General features: G+C 40.7%; 2 annotated features.

The window, feature by feature from the left end:
* Positions 469–1,069: an enhancer, noted in NCBI's record as "OCT4-NANOG-H3K27ac hESC enhancer chr13:107333230-107333830 (GRCh37/hg19 assembly coordinates)". NCBI's record gives its function as "activates a minimal SCP1, AML or CMV promoter by ChIP-STARR-seq in primed H9 embryonic stem cells {active_cell/tissue: H9 hESC(primed)}" and the evidence as "EXISTENCE:reporter gene assay evidence [ECO:0000049][PMID:30033119]".
* Positions 768–1,062: a silencer, noted in NCBI's record as "tiled region #8524; K562 Repressive non-DNase unmatched - State 24:Quies". NCBI's record gives its function as "represses a minimal TATA promoter and a strong SV40 promoter by Sharpr-MPRA in K562 cells {active_cell/tissue: K562}" and the evidence as "EXISTENCE:reporter gene assay evidence [ECO:0000049][PMID:27701403]".

The raw sequence follows: 11,564 nt of genomic DNA on the forward strand, positions 1-11,564 counted from the left end.
GTGCCATTGGTGTTTATTTCTTATTTCAATGTAGAAATGAATGAATGAGTTCCGCTCTAGCAAAAAGTGCCTGTGATCTGAAATAATTAGTCATCACAATCAGAGAGAATGCTATGTGACTAGTAAATCATACAATTGAGGAATTGCATTTAAAAATTAGAGTTATCAGGAACACCTAAAAAGCTGTCTATTCAAGTAAGCCCCTGGAGCTTTGATAATTATCAGGAGGCAGAATGTAACCTCCTTGGCTTATTCTCGAAGGGATGCTGCCACAATTCGGTAGTAGATTCACATGCCATGAGTTTATAGGGAGTGTGTTGAATTTTGAGGGGCTTTTTCATTTGACATTTATACAATTAGCCATGGCTTTGGCTGGGGTGTTAAAAAAGGCAAGTAGGAAATCACCAGAAACAGGAGAACTTACAGATATGTTGCCTTTTTTGGTGTATGTGGAACATAGTACGAGAAACTCTCATGGGAACTCTGAGGAAGGAAACATACCATGTCTGTCACTAACCAGGGAAAAAAAATGTCACTGGGCCAGTAAGCATTAAGCAGAACAATAAGAACTTCCTGGTGCCAAGAGTCAGGACAAATGTGTGAAAGGGAATGAAGGGACATTACCATACTGAGCCTTTCACAGGAAAATGCTAAATAAACCGAGAGATGCTTGTCAATATTTGGATAAGGAAACATGTCTCAGTCTGATTTTTAAGGCACGCTACAAAAAAAAAAATCTTGAGAAACTTTGTACTGTATTCACAATATCAACAAAAATAATACACTTGGAGTCTGGGGTGGCCATTCTCATGGTAATGAATGTGTTTCAACAGTGATCTCCTATTGTGAGCCTTGGAGCTGCATGTCTCCAGGCTCTAGGGAGGCACGGATGGACACCGCCCCCACATTGTGGCCACAGCGTGCCTTTGTGAGCCTCAGCTGTGAGCTTCTCAAGTCCTCAATGGGCAGGCAGGGCACACTGAATTAGGACCCATTGCTGCTTCATTTATCCACGACACAATTTATAAACAGCAAGTATATTACTTGTTTCATGTTTTATTTGTTAGGTCATTTCTAGCAAAAGCTGAGCACATGCACCCACATATAGGGCAGCTGTGCCTCCAGTCAACCCAGTAGGAAGAAAATTGCAAACATTGTTGAAATAAAATTGGGTGGATGGTTGCTTTCAAGGAGCACAGCCTCCCACCTGCTTTCCTGAACTAACCGTGGGGAGCAGTTGGTTGCACTCTTATCAGTTTTGCTGGTGCTTCTCTCTTCTCCATTTCGACCATGCTTTTAAAAAAGGCATTTGGATCTGGAAGGAAAAATGCAATAATCCAAATCTTTGGCCTCGGGTTTTGAGAGGTGTCTGTTATACTAGGAATCTAAAAAGGAAAGCAGAGAAATTCAATTGAAAGAAACAAAAAACCAGCTTTCTCCTTTCTCTTTAGCAATAACAAAGGAAGGAGAGAGAGCAAGAGTGAGAGAAGGAAATAAGACTCTTCTATTTTAACACTTTAGTGTATAATGGCATATGAATAATATCATTTTTCTGCCATTTATTCAGATGTGAAGGAACTCAGTGAATAATAATAGCTGCTGTCAAAGGTATTTATATTTAAAAGGTCTTTATGTAAAAAAAATTTTTTTTTTGTCAGGACTGATTTTTCTCTGAGAGGATCCCTCTATCTCCTAGCAACCAATATGGCTATCTTTTTGAATAGCTGCTGCGTGTACAGTGGGTGCATAACCTTTATGTGGAAGCATTTGCAAATTTAGCAGTCAGGACTCATATGAATTCAAAGCAAGTTGTGAAACTGATCTCAGACCCAGACTTGTGATAGAAGTCTCAGGGGGTCTCTTCTGTTGGCAAGACGAAACACATGTGATGGGCACGATCCCCTTCCTGTGTCGACTGCATGTTCTGCAAATGATAAACGGCCCCTTAAATAACCTGTTCACAGAACTTTTATCTATTTAAAAAGAAGAAAAACAAGCTAACCTGAGGAAACCCAAAGATTCTGCTTTGCAAATTACCATCCTAATGGAAAGATTCTATCTCAAGAAAGAAAATGTCTAGAAGTTTATTAAAAAAAATTAAAGAGTAATGGAAACATCTGGAACTCAGTCATCTCTTTTGCTTCTACGTTTTGATTATTTGTAATATATTAATGTCATTTTCATTCCTTCTAAATCTTACAACAGGGACTTTCTGCATGTTCAAAAAACATTGGCTAAAGTTCCTAATCTCTCTCTGAGATAAACATTATAATAAACAGATTATAAATAAATAAATTCATAGAATGAGAAGAGATAGAGACAGAAACAGAAACCATTTCTTGTAATTTCTAGTCTACAAGGCTGTGTTTAGCAGTAGAATATTATCATTAAATTTTTTTTAAAAACAATATTTGTCTCCTGGAGGCATGCACCCTATTAAAATGAGTATATGGTTTTAAAAGAAGAACATTTACATAATTTCAAAAGCCTTCAAAAATGAACTCTCTAGGCTGGGCGTGGTGGCTCACGCCTGTAATCCTAACACTTTGGAAGGCCAAGGTGGGTGGATCACAAGGTCAAGAGATTGAGACCATCCTGGCCAACATGGTGAAACCCCGTCTCTACTAAAAATACAAAAATTAGCTGGGCGTGGTGGCCCATGCCATAGTCTCAGCTACTCGGGAGGCTGAGGTAGGAGAATGGCTTGAACCCAGGAGGCAGAGGTTGCAGTGAGCCAAGATCTTGCCATTGCACTCCTGCCTGGGCCACAAGAGTGAAACTCCATCTCAAAACAAACAAACAAACAAAAAAAGAACTCTCTAGAACCAGACTTCCGCGTGTGAAGTGCTCAGAGAAGGCACAGAAATCTCCGGCATTCATCAGCACATGGTGAGCGTGAAGCTGCCCGCTGGTGCCACCACACACTGCTGCTCTTTGTTCTCTGTCCCACTGAAGGTTAACGAAGCTGTCTTTAGGCACAGCTGTGAGGTCGGCAAGATTTGTCATCAGAGAGTCCTCTTCCCGCTTTTTATTTACTCTTTCTCTTCTTGCCTTTTCAGACTTTCACCTCTCTTTACCATCCAAACAGGAAACATTCAGATAACCAGATATGACACTTGTCTATTTACAGAATTATTTAACTTTCATTTTCTTTCACTTGCCTTCCATGTAACTATGCATTTTAAGTCTCTTCGTGGTTCCCAAAAAACCTTGTTCCCCTTATTAAAACGTTTTCAGGAATCTGTAATAGTCCCTGAAGTATTTGGAGTGCTTTACAGCCTCAAAGGGACTTTCACTTTATCTCATTGATCTTCACAAGGACCTTGTCTAGGTATATGTTATTTTTTATTAACACCACCATTTTCATACCTAAGGAAATGGAGCTTTGGAGAGATTACCTGACTTGCTTGAGCTCATAAAACTAATACAGACGGTGCAAGGGTTCAAGAGCAGGTCAACTTTGTAGAAATCATTTGCTCTTCCCCTTAGATCACAATACTTCTCAGAAAGCAGTTGGAAAGGTACTCCTGGAGGAAGACATTTGGTGAAAAATGACACCAGGCCTACTGTAAGATTGCAGCTGGAGTGAACCCTGAGTTAGTCCTTAGGGGGTCACCAGGAAGTCAGGGGGAAGGAGATCAAGTTGCTTCCTACTGACACCACTTATGTGAGGAGGTGCCTACCAGGCAGGCTCTTGGGGCAGAGGAGTCTGTATTGCTTCATCCCAGGCTTCTTGTTGGTCCTGGAGCTGGTCCTGTAGTTGAACAGATCTCTATCCTCAGACTAGTGACACCAACATTATCTGCAGGCTTAGAAATGCAGAATCTTGGACTTCGCAGACGGACAAGGTCGGAATCTCTGAGGAGGTGGCCCAGGACTCTGTGTTAGTATGCCCTTCCTCCTCCGGGTGATTCTCTGCCACATTGCGGTTTGAGAACCACTGCTGCAGATGGCTGCCCTATGTTATGTCTGACTAACGGGAACCCTCGTTCCCAACGTCTAAAGTTGTCACCCTCAAGAGCTTCTTCCTTCCTCCTAGATCTGGATGTAGCTTCTTTTCAAGAAGAATTTATTTTCTCTTAGTACTTGAAATTGATGATATCTTCTCAACTGACTTTCTAAAACTCATTGATTTTGTTCGTGTCATCTTTTATCTTTAATGTGACAGTTCTAACTACGCATTGAAGCTTAAGGAGTTTCTAGGTTTCTGAAAGATATTTTTACCTTTTCAAAATAGAAATGGAAAAAGAGAAGAGGGTATTTTTGGGAAAAGAAAAAGGAAGAATTGCATAAAATAAATTAGAAAGGAAAACATTTGGAAATGTATGTTAGCTATTGATATTGATTTGTTCTGGGAGTGTTCTGCAGTTCTTATACAGGATGCAAAAGGATGCCGTATATGAGGCGATCATAATCGCAAAGCTGACTTTGACTGTCTTCCTGTAAGTACGAGACAGTGGACAGTGGATCAATTCAGCTAAGAATCCAGTTAATTCAGAGATAAAAGTCTGACTGGTTATTTGGGGCTGTTAAGTCAACCTGCCCACCTGACCGTGCATGAGATATTCCTTTTTAATGAAATATTTTGATATCCTAGAGATTTTTAAATTACATCCCTGTTAATTATTTACATCTACAGCATGGGGAAAGGTGGATTTATTGTCATTTGCTAGCCAAGCTCTATGTATGCTTTAAAAAGACACCAGTCCTTTCAATTTTTAGAAGACATTGTATGTTATTCTTCTGAGCCTTTATTTAATCCTAAACACACATGTGTACACACATACCCTCAGATAAACTGTGTTTTTAAGCAAATGTGTCACCAAGCTTTGTTTGAGACTATAGACGAAAATAAGACATCCTTCACATTGTGTTCCTCCCGCTTGAAAGCTTTTCTTTTATACATTTGCACAGGGTGAAGCCAGATGGGAGTGCTGAGCTTCAGGGAGCAGCTACGCAAAGTTAATTGTGCTCAGCAAAGTCTTCTAGATTAAGCGGTCGCTCCAATAAAGTTTCCTGATTCTGTCCAGAAATCCTCAACTCCGACAATAAGAAGTGGGTTGAGGGGCAATTTGAATACATAATCAAAAAGCATATAATTGAAGATTGAACTTGAGCTATAGCTTCATGTATTGTCTCTGCGTTGTTCTATTTTAATAGTTGCATATGGAGACAATAAAGCTACATGACAAATAGTCTGTTGTTAAGTTTCAATGCTTTCTCTCTGATTCACATTCATTCTCTCTTGTCAGGTTATCAATCCCATCCCCCAAATTTTCTCCTAATTTAGAGTACTTGAAAAAATACATTTTTCATTTATAACTAACTGGCTGTCTGACTGAAAATAGCAGAGCTGCTACTAAAAACTTTTTCTTAAGTAGCTCTTCATTTGAAGAGAAGAGGAAATATTGACTCAACTAGGTTAGGAAGATACAGAATGTCGTTACCTTTACATGATACGTTTTATTTATTCCTTCTTAGGAATCATTTCCATTTTATTTTTAGTTTGCAGACAAGCTTCCTATTGACTTCACTGCTATCTCTTCATTTCTTAATGTAGGCAGTTCTCTGGACATTTTATGAAGAAAAGTTTTATCTTGATTTTCAGACATCCTAAAACTCTTTTGTTTTGAAGAAATAATTCAAAATACTTCAAGTAAAATGCATTCATTGTAGTATTCTACCTGATTATTTATCATTATCAAGGCTGTTTACAGCTTTGACCTTCTTTCATTAATGTGCTATCCTGCGATGCAAACTTACAAAATTCCTTGTTTCTGTTCCTAAAATGATGATGCTGGATATGGAGAAAACTTTCTGGGCATGAACAAGAATTAAAATAAAACAAAACACTTCAAAGATCTGAAAGAAAGATCAAGGATTTCTGCCATATAATGTAATTGTGAAATTGTTGAATCACACAGTTTAGAAAGGAAGTAAAACAAAAACAAAAACCAGCCCTCTGGTGCTAGACAGAAGTCAACCTCACTGTTTGAATCACATGGTTTTCCTTCCCAATTTTTAGAATCCCAGAGGTAGCATTTCTGCAGCTTCTTCGATAGCCTTTGTTCTTGTTATCTTGCTCAGTAGCTTTTGTCCTCTACTTCATAGAAATATAAGAACGATATCACTGCTACTATCAGGATTTGGAATGTTTCTAGACCAAAGAAAACCCGATTCCTTATTTCTTCATGGCTCCTGCAGAGTCGAGGCCAGAACTTCTGGTACTACTGTAAGGATTACAGGAAACTTGCAACTACACCCTCTTCTTAATCTCAGTGAATTACTCCATGGAGTCACTGGAAAATCACTGTTGGCACTTTCTTTCCCTCTCTCCCTCCCTCCCTCCCTCCCTTCTCTCTCTTTTCTTTTCTCCTTTCTTTTCTTTCTCTGTTTCTCTCTTTGTCTCTTTCTCTCTTTCTCTCTTCTCTCTTTCTTTTCGGAGTCTCGCTCTGTCACCCAGGCTGGAGGCACAATCTTGGCTCACTGCAACCTCTGCCTCCTGAGATCAAGCGATTCTCCTGCCTCAGCCTCCTGAGTAGCTGGGACTACGGGTGCCCACCACCATGCCTGGCTAATTTTTCTATTTTTAGTAGAGATGGGATTTCGCACGTTGGCCAGGCTGGTGTCCAATTCCTGACTTCAAGTGAGTGTCTCACCTCAGCCTCCCAAAGTGCTGGGATTGCAGGCTGAGCCCCCGCACCCAGCATTGTTGACCCTTTCTCTCTCTACTCATCTTTCTGGGCACCTTTCTAATCTGTTCACTTCATTCCAGCCCTCACTGCCTTCTTATCACTGCCTTTGCTTAAATTTATGAACCCGTATGTCTTTCTTGATCTAAATTAACTCCTCTGAATATATCTTCCTGTCCTAGAGCTCTTCATTGGCACCCTTTTGCTCTAAGGATAAATTCCAAACCCTATAACAGGCACAAATGACCCTGCATGCTTGGTTCCCTCGTCAACCTCATCTCTACCTGAAAAGCTAGTGTTGGTGCCGCTCCCAGGGGCCTCCGTAGCATCCAGCATTTTCTCCGCTGTAACAACCAACACTTTGTGTGGTCCTGCAGCCTCCAGTCAATTCTGTGAAGACCGGCAGTGTCTTATTTACTGACATATTCTCAGAGCAAGTCTTGTCACCCAGACCATAGTAAACCTGCAGAAACCACCAGATGATTGGTATAAAAAGAATGGTCGCATTTGGGTGATGAGGGATGGTTTCAAGGATGATCTGGGACCTTGTGCATCATACATTTATCATCATTAAAAGATAAAAGCTTAAAAGATACCTATTGGACTACTACAGTAATATTTTTATTTGGTTTTATTTTAGTGTGTTCTCCCATTATTGTGATTAAATTCTTTGACAATGGACCATGATGATGCAAGCTGGGCTGGGTATCATTCCTGCAGCCCAGTGAAAGCTCACACAAGAATGAAATCCACACCAAAGTGAAATGTCCATGAAACATGGGGAAAAGAAAGCCCTGCACTTCACATGACTAATGCTAGAATCTTCCTTGAATTTACAATTAATGGAACACAATAAATGTCCTTAATTGATATGGGCACCTATCCTGAACTTACAGGTGGCAGGATGTTGGGGGTATCAGGAAAAGCTTTCTAGAGGAAGGGATGGTCAGGTTGAACTATGAAGGAAGAGTAGGGCTTAGACCTGCAGTATTGTGGGGATCAAAAAGCCAATGTCCTAGGCAGACGAAGCATTATGTAGGATAGTATGAAGTAAGATGTGCTTGAGAAACACATCTAAAAGAGTGAGGAAATTGGTGTGAGGAGGTAAAGGTGAGATATCAGGATGAAAGAGTGAACAGGAGTCAGATGATGCAGGCCTGTGAGCTGCTCTGAGGAGGTTTGGATGGGATATTTAAATAACAAGGAGCACTTGAGGGATTGTAAGCAGCAGAGGGCAATGTCGTGTTTGTGTTTTAGAAAGATAATTCTAGAAAATGGAACGGAAGAGGCAAGAAGAGAAGTGGGGAAAGCAGTCAGGAAACAGAATTCTCGAGAGAGACAGTGGTGAGCATATGCAGAATGCAGGGTGGAGTCTAGAGGCACTTAGGAAACAGTGAATGGGACTTGCTGATTGGCTGGGTGGGGGGAGATGGAAAGAAATAGCCAAAAATCAAGGTGCTGCCCCTGTTCCTGGCAAGGACAGGTGAGTTGATAGTTATATTATTCACTGAGATAGAACAGGTCTCATACTGGGCTTTGCTGAATTGGAAGTGTTAGTAGAACTTCCAAGTAGAGACATCCATTGGACACTTGGGTGTAAAGGTTTGAAGTTTGGAACCTCGTTGGTGGGAGATTTAGATTAGTTAGTCATTAGCAGAGACAGTTATTGACACTCTTGGAATAAATGAGAGCAATCAGTGACAGTGAGTAGAATGAGAAGAGAAAAGAGACAAGGACAGAAAGTTGTAATATTCCAATGTTCAAGAGGCTCATAGCAGCAGGACTGTGCAAAGGAGGCTGAGGAGGAGCAGCTGGAGAGGCGGCTGGGAAGCTAGGAGTGTTGAGGGGCTGGGGATCAAGAGAACCTTGAGAAGCAGGAGTGGCCAATGACACAAGTGATGCCAAAGGTCACAACAGTGACTTTTGTGGAAATGATTTCAGTAGAGAAACCAAGGTGAAAGGCAGACTGTGGTGGACTGAAGACAAAATGGAAGATGAAGAAGATGATGAGGCAAACGTAGACAATAATTGCTGATGACACAGATTTTTATTTGCCAGAGAAAGAGATGATTTTGAGGTAGTTCTTTTACCCTTTCTCTGTTTCTTTGTTTCTTTCAGTGTGAATGGTTTATGTTTTTAAAAGTTGTTGACACAGACCTGATAAAACATGGGCATTTGAAGGCATGGAGTAGGTGGTGGCTGCTCATGATTGTGTGGGGAGGGCAGGCTCAGGTGTGTATCACACAGATAAGGTGCCTGGTGAGGGGCACACCCACACTAAGTTTCAGCCTTGGTGCAGCACTGAATGAGCGCAGAGGAAGGGATGCCTTTTCATAATTTATGTTTTTACAAAGCTGCCCTAAATGCTTGCAGGACTATGGTGGAGGAAAGTGGCATTTAGTAATTGATTGAATGAAGTCTTGAAGACACGTAAAAAGTAAAGTCTGGAGGACAGGAGAACAGGGCCCTAGGAAGGGGGACGCATCTTCCCAATAAACCAGAAAAGAAAGAAAAGGATGTGTGCCATTGTACACAAGAAGCCTGGCTTAGTATGAGAAGTTGGGAGAATTTCTCTTTTCTCATATCCATTTTCTCTGTGAAGAAAGAAGAGACAGATCATCTGTTGAGAGAATGGGTCAGAGGAGGTTTGAGGAAAGTTGAAAAGTTTTGAAACAGCTTCTATAGTGAGTTGGGAAGGGGGCTGATTATAAGAATTGCCAAGTTCCTACTGTGCCATTCAATTTTACTATCATAACATTCCACAACATTTCAGTTCCTTACATGGTTTTGTCAAGAAAATGTAGCATTTTGTAGGAGGAAGTTTTTTTTTCTTAAATTAAACATGTTTGAAATGTTCGTTGAATCACTGATCATTAGAGACATGTAAATCAAAATCACAATGAGCTACCATTTTACACCAGTCAGAATGACTACTATGAGAAAGTTAAAAAACAACAGATGCTGATGAGGTTGTGGGGAAAAAGGAATGCTTTTACACTGCTGGTAGGAGTGTACATTAGTTCAACCATGTGGAAGAGAGTGTGGTGATTCCTCAAAGACCTAGAGGGAGAAATACCATTCAATCCAGCAATCCCATTACTAGGTGTATACCCAAAGGAATATAAGTTATTCTATTATAAAGACACATGCATGTGTATATTCATTGCAGCACTATTCACAATAACAAAGACATGGAATCAACCCAAATGCCCATCAATGATAGAATGGATAAAGAAAATGTGGTATTTATATGCCATGGAATACTATGCAGCCACAAAAAAGAATGAGATCATGTCCTTTGTAGGGACATGGATGGAGCTGGAGGCCATTATCCTTAGCAAACTAAGGCAGGAACAGAAAGCCGAATACTACATCTTATCACTTGTAAGTGGGAGCTAAATGATGACAACTCATGGGCACATGGTGGGGAACAACACACACTGGGGTTTATCAGAGGGTGGTGGGGGGCGGGGGTGTGAGGAGGGAGAGAGCATCAGGAATAATGTTGATGGATGCTGGGCTTAATACCTGGGTAATGGGATGATCTGTGTAGTAAACCACTGTAGCACATGTTTACCTGTGTAACAAACCTGCACATACTGCACATGTACCCTGGAACGTAAAATAAAAGTTGGAAGTATAAAAAAAGGAAAAAAAGAGAAATGTTTGTTGAGCCTATATATGGTCAAATTCTCACCAACATGGGACTGTACTGATTCACTTTCTTATCTCTGCTCCTCAAGCCTAAACAGCACAGGGCAGCAGCCCATGGCTCTGACGGGGCAGCTCTCTTCCTGTTTACCATCGTGGTGGACTGCTGCTCTCTTCCAAGTCAGTCTAATGAGATACAATGAGTCTCGGGAAAATACTAGGAAACTGGAAATTTGAAAACAAGAAGGTCGAGTGACATGAGAACTCTCTAGATGATGGATTCTGAGAAAGTGAGAATGCTGACTTGGAGTTCAAGAAAGGGCTGAGAAGGCTGAGAGGAAATCCTGAAACGGCCTCCTGGAAATGGGTCTGGCTGTGCACCGTGTCCAGGACTTTCCAGCTTGCTGTCTACAGATAGTTCCTTGCCTCAAGCTTTGAGTAGTCTATTTCTTTTTACGATGATGGCAAATTTGTGGGCAGACAATCCCCAATCAAGCTTCCGACCCCTCATTAATTTGTAATATGTTCAATTGTTGCCACTAAATATAAAACGATTTACCTGCACTTAGAAAGGAATTGGCTTAATACACTGCATGACCACAGGGCATTGTCTATTCCATTTCCCCCTGGCTGTCTTTCCCTTTCAAACCTTCACGCTGCTGTGCATAAAGGGAGTACACAACAGGCAATGCCCACCTCGCCCCAGCAATCCCTGGGAGTAGCGGTTTCAATCATCAGGTCCCTTTCTTTCATTGCCCATGTGATCCCTCCCTCCACCCTTTCACCGTTTAAAAGAAATGAAAGGAGCAAATCTAAACATGAGTTTCAAGCTATTCTTGTACCAGGAACAATATATTCTTAAGCACTACATGCATCCTAGATTTGTCTCGATGTGGTCCATTTATTTTAATTTGGGACTGTCAACAGAAAAGAAAAAAAAAGAAGTAATTAAACTTGTGACTAGCATGGAAAAACATTTTAGGTCCTAATGCAGCGGCGTGATCCCACCAGTTTCACCAGATTTCTTCTACTTGTCAGATCAAAGTCTCAACTCCTAAAATTCAGCCATGCTTTGATTAATTACTTCATACAATGACTTTGCAAATTATAGTTCTATGTGATTTATGTCATTTTTAGCTTCAATCAGATTTTTTTTTTTTGGTTGCTCTATTCACAGAGCCAGTCAGCCTTCACCTTGGAGAAAGCATGTTTTAAAATTGC

The sequence above is a fragment of the Homo sapiens genome, chromosome 13 (assembly GCF_000001405.40).
Source record: "Homo sapiens chromosome 13, GRCh38.p14 Primary Assembly".
Taxonomy (NCBI): domain Eukaryota; kingdom Metazoa; phylum Chordata; class Mammalia; order Primates; family Hominidae; genus Homo; species Homo sapiens.